The sequence below is a fragment of the Homo sapiens genome, chromosome 9 (genome assembly GCF_000001405.40).
Source record: "Homo sapiens chromosome 9, GRCh38.p14 Primary Assembly".
Classification (NCBI taxonomy): Eukaryota; Metazoa; Chordata; class Mammalia; order Primates; family Hominidae; genus Homo; species Homo sapiens.
Genome location: NC_000009.12, coordinates 105,317,422 through 105,337,621, shown reverse-complemented (window position 1 = coordinate 105,337,621; position 20,200 = coordinate 105,317,422). Strand labels below are relative to the sequence as shown.

The following is a 20,200-nucleotide window of genomic DNA, read 5'->3' as shown; positions in this document are numbered from 1 at the left end:
ATTTTTTACTATGGATGATTTCCGAGCAAGGGGTTAGCATTGATTGAAGTTCTAGGAATGTTAATATGTCAGTAGTATGTAAGAGAGCTAAAATTAGAGAGAGACTAGAGGCAGAAAGACTATTACATTCCATTAGTGGAATAATAATAATTATGATAATAGCAGCAGCCAATAATTTTTCTTAGCAACTTAATATTTGCCAGATACTGTTCTAAGCATTGTTCATGTATCAAGTCCTCATAACCATCCTATGAAGTATATTAGGTACGAATATCGTCCCTATTTCATAGATGTGGAAACTGAGGCAAGGAGAAGTCAAGTAATTTGCCCAGGGTCTCACAGCCAGTAAGTGGTAGGAGCAACATCTGAACCCAAACAATAGGACTCCGGAGCATATACTTTTAACCACTCAACCACACCACTTGTCAGAGTATACTCACATTGTCTAAAATTCTGGAAAAACCCTTAAGGAAGGGCTCACCCCTCCCTAAGAAACCTTATAATGTTGAGGCTGGTATGAGGCTCAGCAACAACACATGTGGGGATACAATATGGGAATAAAAAATGAGATCGTGAAGAGTGGTTGGCACTTCTTTATTCAAGTACCTACCAAGTGTCCAGTATTCTTCATACATCATCTTATTTAATCTTCATAACAACTTATGAGGGAGTATTATTTTTAATCCACATTTTTTCAGATGAGGAAACCTAGGCTCAGAGAACTTTTACCCTTTACCCTCATTACAGAGCCAGTCAGTGACAGTCAGCACTGGAATCCAGACCCAAATCAACCCATGTTATCCTATGCTGAGGGCATGGAACAACGGAACAGGGATACTGCCAGCCTGGGAGGCTGCAGTCCTCCTGCCTTCAGAAGGCTAGCATCCCCAACTGGAAGACACTGGAGCCATGCTAGTGTGTGTAGAGCTATGGTTCCATGCTGTCTGTCCACCCAGCTAGAAGTTGTACCCACTGGATACCTGGGTCGTTCCTTGTTCCAAGCAACCAGCACTAGCCTGTGGATCTGGGCAGGATCAAGGCAGCTCTGAGGATTCCTACACACAAAATACAAGCATGAAACCTCAAGGAAATTCAAAAAGATAGGCCTCTACAAAGGGTGGTTAAAAAAACGATTCTCTGAAGAGAACTGAGGCAAGCCATGTGGACCTGAGGATGGTACTAGAGATAAAATGCCTCAGAGAACAGAGCTAGATTTCAGGAAACTATGTTAGTTTTCTCAGCTAATTCCTCTATCTTTAGCCTCAAAGTTGCTCACAATTATTATCAGAAAAAGAGCTATGACAGAACGTTAAATTTAAAAAGCAGAACACAAAACTATATACACACCGACTCATTGAAAAAGTACTGATGCTAGAATTTAAATTTCTACTTCTTATTTTTTCTGAACTTTCCAAATTTCCTATAATATGCATATGTTACATTGCTAACCAGGGAGATACACACACACACACACACACACACACACATGCACACACACACACATATGTATGTATATATATTGTTTCAACATATAAAACTTATTTCAATTTTTATATATGTGAATTGAAATACTTTTAACCAATACTTGGGAAGGGGGAACAAGAAATAAATTTTACATAGAGTGGTTTAGTAATTTCCAAATACTCGATAGACTACATCAAAGTCACCTGAGATATTTATTTTAAAAATACTAACTTCCAGAGCACAAAGACCCACTCAGTCAGAATTTTGCCCAGGGAGGGGCCCAGGAATCTGGAGTTTAACAAGCTCCCTGGGTGACTATAATATTTTTTAGCAAGGAAGTCCAAAATTACTTCAATTATCTAAGGTTCCTTGATAATTTATTTAACACTAGGGCAAATTTATATTTAACAAAGAGAACAAGGTGACAGGACATAGATTTGGATGGCCTAATGTCTCACCATTTATCTCTGCAAACTTCTGAACATCACTCAGAGTTTTCAGTTCTTGCCTTGGACACGCTGCTACACACAGTGCTACAGACTTAATCTTCCGGTTTATCAAGTCCAGGTTGCATGGATCCAAAAAGAATACATACCTAAAGCATGGAGAAAAAAACTGAGATATTACTTCACAAAACACATTGTGGGTCCCTGCATATTTGACTAAGCCTAGAGCAAAGAACATCTATTCCACATTCCTCCACGATAAAAATCTCATCATAAATACATTTTAAAAAAATTGCTTATTAACAGACTAACAGTGGGAATAGGGGAATTGTAGGACTTATAATTTTCATGATCTATTTTTCTAATATTTAAATGTTTGTATTGTGCACATGCATATTTCATAATCAGAAATCATCTATTTTAGTTTTCTTCAAATCATTAATTTTTTCTTATTTTGTCAAACTTGTACCAAAAAAAATTATTGGAATATCATAATACTGCTATATAATACAGCATGAATAACAGTTTATATATAAACTGTAAACTTTAGTTAATAAATGTAATTCATTCATTATATATAATTCATATGAACAGAATTATATAATTCCAAAAATGAATATATATTATAGATATCAATGAATATATACAACTGAATATACAAAGTTAAATGGGGACCAGAGGGAAATACACCAACATTTCAACTACAGTCATCGCTGGGTGTTAAAATAAAGTGATTTTTAATTTATTTTACCTTTCAGAATCCGCATCTTTAGAAAGAATGCCAATTACTTTTGAACTGATATAACGGCAGTAAATATTGTTTATTAATAGTTTAAATACTGTCCATTACAGATAGATAAAATAATCCCCAAATCTGAAATTATACCCTTTACATCCTGTATACTTGTATTTTAGAAAAGGGAAGATTAATTAGAAAGCACGCCAAAGCATGTATTTTTAATGTTATAAAGTAGATGAGATGATAAAGATTGTAGATGCTAACATTTGCTCAAAGAGAAAGTAAGGGCTAAACATTCTCAATTGAGATAAGCTAAGTGCAATAACACGGATCAAGGAAGGGAGTACAAGAAGGAATGCTTCCACCTAAAATGAATCTCCAGCCAGGGTTCAATTCCACTGAGTCCATAGGAAGTTTTATAAAATCATGCATCTGTCAATAGCCTTTCACACAGTTAAACTCTGTTGCTATGCAAAATGTGGTTTCAAATCTGGAACAGGAAATATAACCTAATATAAAAATTAGGAGAACAAACTGAAAAGCAGAAAAGGTAAAGTCAATACATATGCTAAAATGGAAACTATAAAGGAAAAAAAAATAAGTAGGAAAAAAAAGGGGGCTACTACAGAGGCCTTTGCAGATCAAGTAACACTGCACACTTCAGCGCAGCAAGGGGACTGGGAACCCGGCATGAAGGTCAGGTATAACTTACCAAACGAAAAAAAAAAAAAAATGTGTGTGTGACCCTATCAGTGACTCCAAACCCATTAATGTTCTATCTATGCAGATAGAAGGAAAGAAAAAAAGCCAGGCAGAAAGATGAGGTTTAGAAGTAGGTTTTGTGGACTGTTTCCATGGCTGATAACAAGGAAGCAGGGCATACAGAGAATTGTTTCTGGCAACTTCTGAGTAGAAACAAGCATTCTCTTACTAATTCTCCCTTCTTCTATCCTGGGCGTCTGACTAAGCATGTCTATGCCTTTGACCCTGTATAATGAATTGCACAAAGACAGATTCTGGACAGGGAACAATCAGGTCCTTGAGAAATGTGTCACAAAACCTTTGAATCAACCACTACTGCTACCACCACCACCACCACTATCACTGCTACCATTGCCATCACCACCACCATCACTACTAAGAATACTTCTTTTTTTTTTTTTGAGATGGAGTTCTGCCCTGTTGCACAGGCTGGAGTGCAATGGCATGGTCTCAGCTGACTGCAACCTCAGCCTTTGAGGTTCAAACGATTCTCCTGCCTCAGCCTCCTGAGTAGCTGGAATTACAGGCACCTACTACCACACCCGGCTAATTTTTGTATTTTTAGTAGAAACGGGGTTTCACCATGTTGGCCAGGCTGGTCTTGAACTCCTGACCTCAGGTGATCCACCCGCCTTGGCCTCCCAAAGTGCTGGGATTACAGGTATGATAAGCCACTGTGCCTGGCCTAATAATACTTAATGATAAAGACTTTTAAAAATGATAGCCAATTTTATTGAGTACTTACTATTTATCAGACACCGTATTAAACACTTTACATGTATTAACTCATTTAACTCTCACAGTAATTCTGTTGTGTGTTTCTCTATGGGGTGGGAGGTGGGCAGTGGAACTGGGATGGGAGAGAGGCATTGAGTACACAGTTCTAAGTGATGAGCAATGCCTTGAGAACCATCTGGGGAAATCACATCACAGTAGAAAAAGAAGCTTAGGGAAAAGGAAAAAAAAGCCAGAAGCTGCCAGGGCCTTGCTGCTGGGCCTAGGCTGGATCAATGACAACCTCTTGAGAATAGATACACTGTCTGTCCTGTAGGCTTCAGCCTCCTCCAAGGGCAAAAGTATCCCTATTATATTTCTAACTTCTTTTATACCTTAAAACATATTCCTTTGATTTATGCTAGTGACTGGGCAGCAACCTTATCCCTTGCTTTAGTCAGACCAATGTGAACTTGCTTTCTGGTTCTCTCTTAATAGTTCTCTGACCTTGGAAAATATATTTATCCTTCTGAGCCTCAGTTTCCTTATCTGAAAAATTACATATCACCGATTTTATAGTTTGTTGTAATGTGATCAATAATATATATAAAGCACCTAACATAGTATGCACTCAGTGATTCGTGTCATTACCATTAAGAATACTATTTGCTTTCCATACATCTTACATTTCATAGTAAGGAACTAAACTCAACCCTTTCTTATATGGGCATAAAACAGGGATACAATACTAACATTCGGTTTTCATTTAGGAAAAAAAAATCTGTGTAGGAGTATTCATGACTAAGGGTAAGGTCATTACCCTTGAGAACCAAGTAGGCCCCCAAAACAGATCCAGCACAAAGAAAACAAGAACAGGAGGGTGAGAAGAATGCTACCATGACTACAACACTGTGAAATTAACACTGCACATTTTTCAGCCTGTGTATATGGTTTGAAAAGATCTAAAAACTTATTTGAATAAGAAATACACATCTTCAAGAAATACACACTCACATACATCACATGTTTACACTCTGTATCTTACCTGCCTTCCATAGTCTAAGAATATATTAAGCTGGCCAGGTGCAGTGGCTCAAGCCTGTAAACCCAGCACTTTGGGAGGCCAAGGTGGGCAGATCGCTTAAGGTCAGGAGTTGGAGACAAGCCTGGACAACATGGTGAAACCCCATCTCTACCAAAAACACAAAAATTAGCTGAGTGTGGTGGCAGGCACCTGTAATTCCAGCTACTTGGGAGGCTGAGGCAGGAGAATCGCTTGAACCCAGGAGGCGGAGATTGCAGTGAGCCGAGGTCGCACCACCGCACTCCAGCCTGGGCAACAGAGCGAGACTGTGTCTCAAAAAAAAAAAAAAAAAAAGAAACAAAGAAGGAAAAGAAAAGATATTAAGCTTAATTCTCTATGCCTTTCACATATTCAAATGCACACACATGAAGTTAAAAATAACATACAGACCTTGACCTTAGGTTCAGATTCTATTAACATTTGTTGGGTGTGTAGGTGTTAGTCACTGTCACATTCAAGAACTTATTTGATCTTTGCAACAACTCTGTGAGGTAGGGGCCATAACTATTCCAAAGATGTTAAAACTGAGGCCTTGAGGCCTAACCACCAGGCCCAAGAGAGCTAGTAGGTGCCAAAGCATGAATTCAAACATAGTACCTCTGATTCTGAGTTTCACTGTTTCCATTCTGCACTATTCCAAAATATTTCCTACAAATATCATTAGTAAATTTAACTGTTCTCTATTAACTTTGAATATTCTGTTTCCAGCATTCTGAAGTTCATCCAATCCATGGCAACATGCTTAAAAGTAATTATACTTTAACTAATTCATATTTAACTGAATATTTATAGGAGGCCAAGTGCTTGTATCAAACCAATTTATGATTTATTAAAACTGCACTTTCTTGCCTTTTGATTGGAAAATGTCCTTAACCAGGTAAATAAATGCTTACATTAGTTTTTCAGTTTTCACTTTAAACAAAATGAACTGATAGTTTTATTTTTAGACAATGAAACAAATAATCGTAATAAGCATGGTATTGACAAACCAGATTATTGTAACTGAAAACTACAGATGAGTATTTCAGCTGAGAGGGTAACACGCAGTATCCACCTACTTTCACTCCCAACAGGGCAAGGATCAGGAAAGAGATGCAGCACATACATTTTGAAAAAGCTTCTCAGGCCAACTCTGATTATGTGCCTTGGCCTCCATACCTCCCCCTTCCCTATGCCATCTCCAAGGTGGAGAGCCCATGTCACAGATAATCCATAAACCTAAGTTAAGAGCAAGTTTGTCGTTGTTATCCTCAGTGAATCTTTTACTAAGCTTATTAATAACTTAAATACAGCTTTAAGTTTCATATCCTTTAGAGGAACAGGAATAAATAAAATACCAAAAGTGAGAATGAAAGACAAGAAGCAGTAACAGAAAAATACTCTATAAACAAAACAGCCTAGACACCTGCAGGCATTGGCATATACAATATGCACATAGCATGATCAGATGATACAGAAATGCATTTGCAAAGGGAATTGCAAAACAGCCTAAGTAAGCTTTGAACTTAAAAGGTAGATGGGAATGGAGAAAAATGCTCAGACCAAACTGCAAAGCAAACATTACAGAGGACAGCTGGTAAGGCATGTAAATGTGTATTTATTACAGTTGGGGTGGTTTCCAGAAATTATCTGAGGAAGAGGAAAAGGTTTATTTTTAAATGGATATTTTTGAGATACAATAACAAATTATCCCAACAGGCAGGAAAAGGAGAGATGTCTGAATAAAATGCTCTGTCTACAAGGTGAACGAGGAGGACAGATGCACCAAAGATGAAAACAGGGAAACGAGACAAAGGTGGGACATTATATCACTGAAACTCAGGAAAAAGGATAAGAGTCAGAAAAGAAGTGACTTTTAAAGCTGCACTCAGAGCAAGATTAAAATGAATGATATGATGCCATAGAAGGTTTAAAACTGGTTTAAACTTCTGTTTTGCTTTTACTTTCTTTACTGAAGATAGGAGAAGGTAAAGAAAATAAGATTCACCAATAATTTACTTTGAGTCACAAAGCATTACAGGCTTTAGCCTCACAACATCCTAATTCAACAAATGATGGAACTGACTGGCAAGCTGGGTGACTAACCTAACTTTCCAGTTCAAACTGTAAAGTGAGAATAAATGCAAAGGAAAGTGAGTTACAGACCAGCAAGTCAGTTGATTAAATCAGTGCAATCTTCTGGGATCCCTGGAGATCCCTAATCTTCTGGGATCCCTGACAGACAAAGCCCTACCTGTACATGATATAGGGCTGTACTCTATGTGGTATGCAACACTCACGTGACAGGAATTAAATAGGATAAGAAAAACTTCATTTATAACAAACATTACTAGGTGTATACTCCTGGGCCAGACCCTTTGGATACCAAATTCATAAAATATAGTTCTTGAATGCAAGTAAGTTACAGTCTAGAGAAGAACACACAAAAATATATACAGTCATTTAAAAACCATGTGATAGGAGGCAAGGCTGAGATGTCAGTGGAAATTGTGTAATTCTGCATGGAGGATAAGGGGTTAGAGAAACCATTAAGGAGGAGGAGGCAGTATCTAAGCCATATTTTGAAATTGAGTAGGAATTTTCCAGACAGATGGGGAAGGGAGCACTCTAGGCAGAGAAAACTGCATGTCTAAAAGCACAGAATCATGAAAGAGCATATTTAAGGAACTGCAAATAATCTGATAAAGTCGACTATAGGATGGGGTATCAAAGAGCTATGCACCAAGGAGAAGCAGGGGATAGAAAATGTAGCCGTCCTTAGAATCTGGAAGATCTTACAGCTCTTCCATTAGGCAACACGTACTCAAATGGCCACGGAACAGTGATACCCTGGTATGGCCAGCCCCTCGAATTGAAGGCTAGAGAGGGAATGGCTGGGGAACAGCAGCGCTGATCCAGAGATGAGCCTTTGCCATTAAATTGCCTCCTGCTGCCATGGCAACTCTGTGACAAGACTTTTTGGAGCAAAAGGTGGCAAGCAGATACTAGATCTGCTGGCCGCCTCCTGCCGAATTTGGCTGCCTCCTGCCGAATTTGGCTGCTCTCCTCTCCAATCAGGATGGAAGCACTGCAGCACTAAAGCTGGAAAGCAGGCTGAAAAATCCCTCTGTCACCTTCTGCTTTAGTGATTCCTGATATGTGTCTTCCCCAGAGGGGAATAAAAATGGAGTCTGATCATTTTCCCAATTATTACCTCATATCAATTTACAATTTATAGCCCCTTTCCACAGAGAGTGTTGCCGTGAGTGAATCATACCAAACTGAAAACCATGACAGCCTAGCGGAGGCTTGCTATTGCTAAACATAGGCTACAGAGAGCCCCGCAGATCTGTACTCCACCCACAGCGGAATTCTGCCCAGAGGAGGCCTCTTATTTCCAGAGGGGCTGGTGTTGGGGTACCAGCAAGGCAAGTCCAGTCATCTAATCTGGGGTGGGACCCAAATGCCCCCAGGAGAGCCCTGTTATACTAGGAAAGAACTATGGGGCCAGCACACCAGAGTTGGTGAAACCCAAGAAACCCAACCCATGAGGTTGCTGACAGGGGTGTGCCTTTCCCCACTGCTTCCTCAATCCTAACTAGGAAGAGGCAAAAATCTCCTAAGGAAGAGGTGCCATTTGTTAAAACTAAAACCTAAGGATCCATCTCACCAACCCCCAAAGAGACAATTGAATTCTAAACAGCATGGCAGCCTCCTCCGCCAGCACTTCTGTAGACCTTCATTTACAGGCAACTGCTAAGAAGAGAAACTTTCATGGCCCTTTCTGGTAATTCACAGCACTGAGAGCTGAAAATAACTTTAAACTGCAGAGGAAGCCCAAGGATCAGACTAAGACAGCAATACTCAGAGAATGTGCACCTCTCTAACCTCACCTTCGCCTGGTCTCCCACTGGTCTCCTTTCTGTTCCTCAAGCAACCTGGCACACTCTCACCGTGGGGCTGCTGCACTGCCTATCTGCCTGGAATGTTCTTTTTCTAGAGAGCAACAGAGCTAGCTCCTTCCCTCCTTTGAAGTCTTCACTCAAAAGACATCTTCTCAGTGAAGCCTTTGCTGGCCAGCCTGTCTAAAACGCCAACTTTCCACTCTGATGTGCCTTCATCTTTCCTGCTTTGTTTCTCCTCAGACTTACACTCGTTCACACACTGTGTATTTTACTTATTTATCTGTTTATTTTCCACCACCACCACTAGTAGAATATCAGCTCCAACAGGGCAGAGATATTTGACTGCTTAATTCATCCCTACATCCTTAGTGCCTAAAATGATGCCTGGAATAAAGAAGAAGCTGCATATTTCCCAAATTAATAAACAGATGGTAATTATATAAGATTTTGCTAAGTGGGGCCAGAGGGGAGTGAAGGTAAGGAAGAAGATATTTCAGGAACAGAGAAATACTCTCGTTTATTCAAAAGAATTTTATCAAACACCTATTCTGCCAGGTGTAGGCCTAAATAAGTACTAAAGATACGATGATAAATAAGACCACACAACTAAGTGTCTCCCTTCTTAGTGTTCACAATCCAGAGAGTAAGAAGACAATTACAAACAGTGTGCTAGTGCTAGAGCAGGGAAAACAGGATTATAGAGGAGGCATCAAACGTACCCCATTAATGGAAAATCAGGATAGGTGTCCTGAGGAAGGGATATCTAAAGCTGGGACCTAAAGAATGAGTAAGAGTTAACCAGTGTGGATGAAAGGGGGTAGGAACAGCGCAGGAACAGAGCAGGCAAAGGCAAAAAGGTTAAAGGGAGCATGGCACAGCTGAAAACAAGAAAATGGTCAGGATGGTTCATAGACGGCTGGACAGGCAAGCTGATGCTAGATCATGCAGGGCCTTATAAATGGTACGCCTGTAAATCCCAGCACTTTGGGAGGCCGAGGTGGGCAGATCACTTGAGGTCAGGAGTTCAAGACCAGCCTGGCCAACATGGTGAAACCCTGTCTCTACTAAAAATACAGAAATTAGCCAGGTGTGGTGGTGTGCGCCTGTAATCCCAGCTACTTGGGAGGCTGAGGCAGGAGAATTGCTTGAACCTGGGAAGTGGAGGTTGCAGTGAGTTGAGATTGCACCACTGTACTCCAGCCTGGGTGACAGAGTGAGACTCAGTCTCAAAAAAAAAGATGTTAGAAAGTCTGGAGTTCATCTTAAAGACACTGGGAAGCCACTGGGAGCTCACCAGCTGCAAGGTGCAGAATGAGTCAGAGGCAAGCAAGAGAAAAGAGACTGGCCAGGAGGCTACTAAATTTCTACCAAGAAATGATGACTTGAACTAGGGTGGGAATGTGAATAAAAAGGAGATTTCAAAAGTTTAGACACAATGAAGAAAACTTTATGACTGATTATACATAGGTGGAAAGGAAAAAAATTAAACATAATGCTTAGCATCTCAGACTAAACGGTTAGGACATTCTGGTTTGGAATCCTGCTCAATTCTGTAAGATAGGGGACTCAGGAGGAGGAGCAGAGTACCGAAGGACAAGGATGACGTTCCAACTGCAGAGAATTTAAGTTGGAGACACCTATGAAGTGTCCAAATGGACCTATACAGTTGGCTGTAGGATTCTAGCAGAGAAATCTGGACAGGCGACAGTGATTTTGGAATAATCGGCATATATAAATGGTAGCTTTCCCCTGGGAGTGCATGAGATCACCAAAGTCAGTGTGTAGGGTTAAGATTCTTAACCTGGGTGAAATCTGTGAGCCTCCAGAAATCATAAGCAAAATCTGATGTGCAAATCCATATGTATTTTTCTGAAGACAGATTTTATACTTCATAGTTTCGAATAGATTGTCAAAGGCCTCGTAAGAGTAAAAAGCAAGATGACGAAAGAGCCAAAGAAGATACTAACATTGCAAAGCAAAGGCATGGAACTGGAAAAGCACGGGGGAAGACTCCCCTCTTTAGCTACAATGCCTGTCTCCTGCTTATCCATGTACCATGGAGGGAGACATAATTGTCAGAATGGCAACCAAGAGTCACTTATAGCAAATGATATTACTTATAATAAACTGAGGCAAGAAAGTAAATTAAAACAACTTTAGCTGGGTGCATTAGCTCTTGTCTGTAATCCCAGTACTTTGGGAGACAAGGGCAGGAGGATCACTTGAGGCCAGGAATTTGAGACTAGCCTGGGCAACACAGCCAGACCCCATCCCTACAAAAAATACAAAAATTAGCCAGATGTGGTGACACACGCCTGTAGTCCCAGCTGCTTGGGAGGCTGAGCTGGGAGGATTACTCAAGCCCAAGAGGTTGAGGCTGCAGTGAACCAAGGTGGTACCACTGCACTCCAACCTAGGTGACAAAGCAAGACCTGCCTGGTCTCTTAAAAAAGAACATTTCACATAAAAAAACAATTTTCTACTTAGTCCAATAAATTGAAAGAACACTCCTAAATCAACTTGTTTCAGCACTCATACTGAGAAATAATATGTGTCATGGGCCAATGGCCAGAAATTTCATTTTCTTTTTAGTTTATCAGCTTTTCTGAAATATAATTAACATACCATAAAATTCACCTGTGTAAACTGTGCAATTCAATGTTTTAAGTATATTTGACGGAGTTGTTCATCTCATTACTACAATCTAATTTTAGAACCTTTTGTCACCCCCAAAAGAAACCTCCTATCCATTAGAATTACTCCTCATCTGTTATGGTATAAATATTTGTCCCCTCCAAAACTCATGTTGAAATTTAATCCCCAGTGTGGCAGTATTGAGAGGTGGTGCCTTTAAGAGGTGATTGGATTATGAGAGTTCCTCCCTTGTTAATGGATTAATGAATTATCATGGGAGGGGAATTGGTGGCTTTGTAAGAAGAGAGATGTGAGCTAGCATATCAGCACACTCGACCCCTCATCATGTGATACCCTGAGCTATCTCAGGACTCTGCACAGAGTCCCCACCAGCAAAAGGCTCTCATGAGATGTAGAACCTCCATCTTGGACTTCTCAACCTCCATAATTATAAGAAATACATTCCTTTTTCTTTATAAATTACCCAGTTGCAGGTATTCTGCTGTAGGCAACAGAAAACGAGTGAATACATCATCCTTCCATGTCCAACTACTCCCCAGCCCTAGGCAACTACTAATCTACCTTATGTCTCTATACATTTGTCTATTCTATACATTTCATATAAAGAGAATTGTACCATATGTGGCTGGCTTCTTTTATGTAGTGTAACACTTTCAAGGTTCATCCATGCCATGGCATATATAAGCACTTCATTCCTTTTAATGGCTGAATAACTTTTCATTGTGTGGATATACCACATTTTGTTTATCCTGTCATCAGTTGATGTACATTTGTGCTGTTTTCTGTTTTTGGCTATTAGATGCTGCAGCTGCTATGAATGTTCATGTACAAGTCTTTGTGGGGACATCTGTTTTTAGTTCTCTTGGGTAGATACGAAGGAGTGGAATTGCTGGATCATATGGTAACTCTATGTTTGATATTTTGATGGACTGTCAGATTGTTTACAAGAGCAGCTATCATATTTTACATTCCCAGCAGCAACGTATGAGGGCTCCAATTTCTCCACATTCTCACCAACATCTGTAACTGCCTTTTTATTATAATTATTCTAGTGGATGTGAAATAGTAACTTATTGTTGTTTTGATTTGCATTTCTTGATAGCTAATGATGTTGGCTATCTTTTCATGTGCCTGTTAGACATTCACATAGCTGTTTTGGAGAAATGTCCCTCGGAATCCTTTGCCTATCACAGATTTCTTTCAGATCTCTGAGTAAGACAGAGTAAGGCACAGATATTCACTAGATATTGTCACAACATTATGAAAAAATTATATTACAACAAAAAGCAAGGATGACAGTAGAGTAAAAACAGCACTTGGAGGCCAGGCGTGGTGGCTCATGCCTGCAATCCCAGCACTTTGGGAGGCCGAGGCAGGTGGATTGCTTGAGGCCAGGAGTTTGAGACCAGCCTGGCCAACACAGTGAAACCCCATCTCTACAAAAAAAATACAAAAATTGGCCAGGTGTGGTGGCACACAACTGTAATCCCAGATACTCAGGAGGCTAAGGCAGGAGAATCACTTGAACCCAGGAGGTGGAGGTTGCAGTGAGCCGAGATCACCCCACTGCACTCCCACCTAGACCACAGAGTGAAACTCTGTCTTTAAAAAAAAAAAAAAAAATTCCGGGCACGGTGAATCACGCCTGTAATCCTGATCACGAGGTCAGGAGATCGAGACCATCCTGGCTAACACATACAAAAAATTAGCCGGGCGTGGTGGCGGGCGCCTGTAGTCCCAGCTACTCGGGAGGCTGAGGCAGGAGAATGGCGTGAATCCGGGAGGTGGAGCTTGCAGTGAGCCTAGATCGCACCACTGCACTCCAGCCTGGGCGACAGAGCAAGACTCCGTCAAAAACAAAAACAAAAACAAAAACAAAAAGCACTTGGGAGAAAGTACAGGAGTCAAAGGACTAGAGGTCGAAGAATGGCTGCAGTGGGCAAAAAAGGACATGCAATGCAAGATGGAAGGACAGAAGACCATGGTGAGAGTGGGGAAAGTTTAGAATTACTCTGAATTGATTTTATAGGTAGAACAATTAAGGGTGATGACAAAGACCAAGCTGTGTCTATGAAAAACGGAACCCTGAAAGCCTCCCCTGAGAAAAAATTTAAGCAGTTCCCAGGGATAGTGAGAATCAATGAGACAGAATATGTGAGAGTGCTTTGTAAACTACATAAATTTAACAGTTGGTTAAAATAGCTGTGTTTTCCCCATCTAGGTTAAAAAGGGACGAAGCCTTGATTAAGTAACTTTGAAGCTTGTTTTAGATGATGATAATGAAGATGATTATAATAAACAACAGTTAACGTTCACGATACCAGGCACTGTGCTAAGGAGTATACATGATTTATGATCTTTACTCCTCTAAAACACCCAAGGAAGTACTGCTATTATTTTCATTTTACAAATGAAGATCTTTAGGCCAAACATTACTGTTGTTATTTTCAACAGTGTAACCTGTCCTTTGATTATCTGCCTACTGGATCTACTCGTACAGATACATCCCCAGTTGCATGAAAAATCTTACCTATCATAGAAAAACTCTAAATGTTGTTCCCATTGTATTGCTTTTATATCAGAGAATCAAATTTTTGATAATCAAACATGCCTACCTTGGTATTATTTAATTTCTTTCTTTTTTTTTTTTTTTTTTTTGAGATGGAGTTTCACTCTGTTGCCCAGGCTGTAGTGCAATGGCATGATCTCGGCTCACTGCAACCTCTGCCTCCTGGGTTCAAGCAATTCTCCTGTCTCAGCCTTCCAAGTGGCTGGGATTACAGGTGCCCGCCACCACGCCTGGTGGTGTATTTTTTTTTTTTTAATAGACGGGGTGTTGGCCAGGCTGGTCTCAAACTCCTGACCTCAAGTAACCCGCCCGCCTTGACCTCCCAAAGTGCTGGGATTACAGACATGAGCCACTGCGCCCAGCCTTATTTAATTTCTTTATTGCCTCAACAATGTATCAATTATTGAAATTATACAAAGTATAATATTCATTTATAATATTGAAATTATACAAAATATAACAACCATTAAAGTATAATATTCATTCAATTATACAAAGTAGAACATTGATTTTAAAATATTTAACCCATGTGGAACTTATTTTGCATGGTATGAGATTAAAGTAGATCTAAATGTAGCTTTCTTCACAGTATCACTCAACCCAATATTTTTTGTTAAACACTGACTACTTTCACAGTATTTATTTCTGCTGTTTCTATTTTGTTCCAATCACTGTTCTTAACCTATGTCCAGGTAGTCTTGTTGTTGTCCTTTGGAACAGGTTTCGGCCTAGAATGGCAATACCCCTTTCATTCTCCTCTAAGTGACACAATTATTAATTAGATAATGACAACCATAGATACACGACCTGTACTCACACAATGAGTAACCCTTCACTCCCACCTTTTATTTGGCTAGTATGCTAACTGCCAACATTTAAAAATCATAAGACTGATACACTCTTCTACTCATTAACAGACTTCCGGCTTCTTTTGAAAACTTAGCATCACTGGCCCCATCTACCCATATGCCAAAACTCACCCCAATTAGCAGCTATCTCCTTTACATGGGGCACACACACGTAAAGTCCAAAGTGTCCAATATTCCCTGTTGTCTTATATCCAACCCATGGTGAAACCCATATGTTTCCCTTCCTGCCTTCAAAACCAGAAAGTTCACAGCTAATTTAGTGCTTTATGTCAGTAACTACACTTAGCCTAGATTTCTGGTCTCATCTCTTCTCCACTTCCACGGTGTGCCTCCTGATCTTTTTTATTCCCATTTCATTGTCTTACAATATATGCACCTACTTCTAATCCTTTCAAATTATTTTGTGAATGAGAAACAATTTAAAAACATTTCTCCTCTGAAATTCTTCCCTGATCCTTTACTCTGTGATTTATACTATCAATCAAGTTCAATGCACATCCTACTGGGATCTTAACTGGCACTTTATTAAATCTATATAATAACTTTGTTAGTATTGTCATCTTTACTATATTAAGACTACTCAACCAGAAGTAGATTATATCTCTCTTGTTTTTTTTTTTTAATTAAAATACTATAACTCTCTGTATTTGGTCCCACATATATCCTGTTAGATTTTATTTTAATAAAACAAGTATTATATTTTTCATTGTATTTTCTGTGCACTGATAAGACAAACGACTGACTTTAGTTAGGCATCTGCTTTATAACCTATAATTTAAGCGCCTCATTTCAAGATACGTTTTTGTTGAATCTCCTAAACATTCCAGGTTATAGTCCCTTGTCACTGGCAAATAGTATTATTTTTCTTTCTAACTACCTATACATATTCTAGTTATCTCTTTTATTATGATTTGCTGCAACTAGTTATTTAAAATAGTGCTATTAAAAAGATGATGTCCTTGCTTATTTAATTTGAGGTAAACTATTTCTATTTCTCCATAATACTGGTAGCTGCTATTACTAGAAACTCCATCAGCCTCCTTTCATGCCATCAAACCTATAACAAAATCTATTTTTGACAAAGGTGGCAAAGTAATTCAATGGGGAAGATAGTCTTTTCAATAAATGCTTCTGGAATAACTGTATTTTTGTATGGGAGAAAAAAGATAAACCTTGACCTTTTCTTCACACCATAATCAAAAATTAAATCAAAATGAATCATATATATCAACATAAGCGCTAACTAAAAAACTTTCAGTAGAAAGCACAAAAAAAAATCATTGTGAATTTGGGGTAAGGCAGTAATTTCCCAGATAGTACACAAAAAACATGAGCCATTAATAAAAACAAACAAATTCAACTTTATCAAAATGTAAAACTTTTGCTCATCAAAAGATGTCACTAAGAAAACAAAAAGCAAACCAAAGATTAGAAAAAATAATTGCAAAACACTTACCTAACAAAGGTCTTGTATACAGATTTAGTGCTCATAACTCATTAAGACTAACCAGTTTGTTTTAAAATATGCAAGATATGAATACTTCACAAAAGAAAACAGATGGATGGTCAACCAGCACTTAAAAAGATGGTCAACATCATCGGTCATTAGAAACATGCAAATTAAAACCACAGTGAGATACCACTACAGATTCACTAGAATGGCTAAGAATAAAAAGAACAGAGACATGCATGGTGACATGCATGGGACTGTACCTATAGTCCCAGCTATATGGGAGCCTCAGGGTCACTTAAGGCCAGGAATTCGAGGCTGTAGCGTGCTATAATCATGCCAATAAATAGCCATGGCACTCCAAACTGTGCAACATAGTGAGATCCTATCTCTAAAAAAAATAAAATAAAATAAAATGTAACAAATAACAAAAAGTCTCATAATACAAAATGTTAGGAGGAAGTGAAGCAAATATAACCCTCCTACTATTGTAGTGGGAATGCAAAATAGTGCAGCAACCACTTTGGGAAACAGCTTGATAATTTCTTATAAAGTTAAACATCCTCACCACATGACTCTGCAATCTCAATGCTATATATCTAACTCTTCAAGAGTAATGAAATATATTAAATTACATACACAAATTGTTAAAGCAGTATTACTCACAATAGTAAAAAAAAAAAAAAAAAAAAAGTTAAATATTGAAATAACCCAAATGGCAAAAAACCTAGTGAACAGATAAACTGTGTTATAGCCACACAATGGAATATTTCTCAGTAATTTAAAAGGAACTAACCACTGATGTATTTAACAACATGCATGAATCTCAGTAGCATTATTATATGTTTTAAAAGGTAGACACAAAATACTACATAATATATAATTATTTGTATATGACATTCTAGAAAAAACAAAACTATACTACGAAAAGCAGATCAGTGGTTGTCTAGGGACAAGAATGGGGGCAAGGACTGACTACAAAGGGGCACAAGGTAATTTTCTAAGAGCAAAAGAAGTATGGATTGTGATGGAGGATGCATGACTGCATATAGTTACCAAATTCAAACTACACTTGAATGAGTAAATTTTACTATATGTAAGTTATAACTCAACAAAACTATAACAATGAAATATTTTTAAATTTCTTCCTGAAAATCGACTTTACAAAATCCAATTTAATTTAATGAGCCCCAGTGTGTAGTAAGAATTTAACCTTACTCAGAAAGAGATCTGGACTTTGCCCTTCACTTCTGGGAGTTAATTTCTAAGCCTTATAGGAGTGTCTTTGTTTACTTGGTGCTCTTGGGTCACAGAAGTCTAACAATGTGTTTTAGGGTTGGGGTAGACCACTCCACATACTATTTAGGGTGGGCGTCGACCACCCTAGAAAGACCAACAATGTTGTTTAGATTAAGAGTTTGGGATCACATGGTATCAAATTGACCAGAGGAGCTGGAGACTGGAGCCTGAGTCAGCCATATAATGGAGTCCCAACAAAAATTATGAACACTGAGGCTTAGGTGAGCTTCTTTGGTTAGCCATACTCTGTGTATTGTCACACACTGACACTGAGAAAGTACTGTGCTCGGACTCCGTGTACTCCACTCTCCCCAAGGGAGACAACAATGGAAGCTCTGCCCCATGCACTCCTTTTGTTGGCTGATTTTACTCTATATCCTTTCCTAAAAATAAACCATAACCATGAGTACAGTAGCGTTCAGTGAGTTCTGCAAGTCTTCCTGGCAAATAATTTGCCAGGAAATAGGTGGTTTTATGGACCCCTGATCTTGCAATTGGGGTCAGATATAAGGGTGGTTGTGTGTGGACTGTGTGCCCTCTAACTTCTTAGATGCCCTCAACTCTGACACCCAGGTAAACACAAGTGGGTGGCAAACCCACTTGATTGCCATCAAACTCATAGTTGAAGCAGTTAATAATTACCTGAAGTATATTACAAAGGTCATTGTCTATCAGCTCATGAACAATGACTAAAGCTTGTAAAAATCTTCACAGGTGTCAGGTAACCTAGAACCAACTCAAGTAGTGAGACTTCAGATTGAGCATTTGTACCAGCTGTTTAACTTAGACATGGCAAACATATACACCTAGTCAAACAACACGGAGAAAAACCAATCATCCCTTCCTTGCCGCCTAGCTGCATACATGTCATCTAATTCTGTTAAACAGGTTTTCACTTCCCTATTTAGAATTGGCAAAACATTTTGACTTTGAACTCCCGCATTTTCTAAGGTACGTAGCTGGATCTCCTCTTTCAAATTGCTCGCAGTATTTTCCACAGCAAGTATTATCCTAAAGGCAGAAATGCACTAGCAATACAGATGTTACCTTTGTAAAGAGTTTAAAAATTTAGGCTTAAGAGTAGTATGGTCACAAAATATGACAAAAAAATCTCCATAAATTTACCTTCTGAAAATTTAGTTAGCGTCTTTACAACTTCTAATATTTTCCATGAGAGGGAATGAAAGTTTAGGAAAAAAACTGTATAGGCCGGGTGTAGTGGCTCACGCCTATAATCCCAGCACTTTGGGAGGCTGAGGTGGGGGGAACATTGAGGTCAGGAGTTCAAGACTGGCCTGGCCAACATGGTGAAACTCCATCTCTACTAAAAATACAAAAATTAGCTGGGTGTGGTGGCAGGTGCTTGTGATCCCAGCTACTTGGGAGGCTAAGGCAGGAGAATCTATTGAACTCGGGAGGCGGAGGTTGCAGTGAGCTGAGATCTTGCCCATTGCACTCCAGCCTGGGTGACAGGGCGAGACTCCATCTCAAAAAACAAACAAACAAAAAAACCTGTATAAATAATACAATAAGTTTTCATTTAGAACGTCACAGATGTTACTATTTCCAAATGCTTGTAAATTTGGGAGGAAATAAGTTCTCAAATACAAGTTTATGTGAGGTATCTATCTAGGCTGCTCTTTTCCACTTTATGCTAAAGTGGGAGTGACAGTAGGTTAGAGTTAGAATCAGAGAGTACTGACAGGAGACAGAGAGAGGAGTGCTTTCCCTCAAAGCAAAGCCAAATTCATCAAAGGCTTAGAGCATCTCCATTTGTTTAAACGTATCCCTAAGTGTGGGAAGAAGTAGGTGATCTACTGGGCTGCTCTGAGGAATACCTTGACAACAGGTAGGGAGAATACTCTGTAAAACTTAAGAATTAGTCCAATGGACAAATGTATACCTCTCTTCTTCTGAGCTTCTACAACTCCACAAGATAGAGTCAGGAGTACAAGATAGAGTCAGGAGCACCTTCCTGTGTGTGCCAGTCTTCTCTGGGCTTTAGGATGGCCAACAAGAATTCCAACCTGTAGACTCAACCACACTATTCCTCAGACAGTGAGAACCAAGCTTGGTATTCTAATCAGAATTCCATCTTCACTAGAAGATGGGCTCCTGGAGCCACCTCTCAGTCCCCAAACCCTCATAACCATCTAGTCACCTCTTCGTCCAATCACCATTATGTGTACCATCCTTCCACAGCCGACTTTACTTGACTTTACCCTGATAAAATGCAAGCCCTGCCTTGAACCCCCAAAATATGAC

The 20,200-nt window shown here is 39.2% G+C and overlaps 1 protein-coding gene across 8 annotated transcripts in view; it reads right to left on the bottom strand.

The window, feature by feature from the left end:
• SLC44A1 (solute carrier family 44 member 1) overlaps positions 1-20,200 on the bottom strand; it is a 193,854-nt gene that overhangs the window by 100,883 nt on the left and 72,771 nt on the right. For all 8 annotated transcript variants that reach the window (NM_001330731.2, NM_080546.5, NM_001286730.2 and 5 more), the window contains one exon: positions 1,923-2,059. In NM_001330731.2, the coding sequence (NP_001317660.1) occupies positions 1,923-2,059 (137 nt within the window). The remainder of the gene's footprint in view (positions 1-1,922; positions 2,060-20,200) is intronic.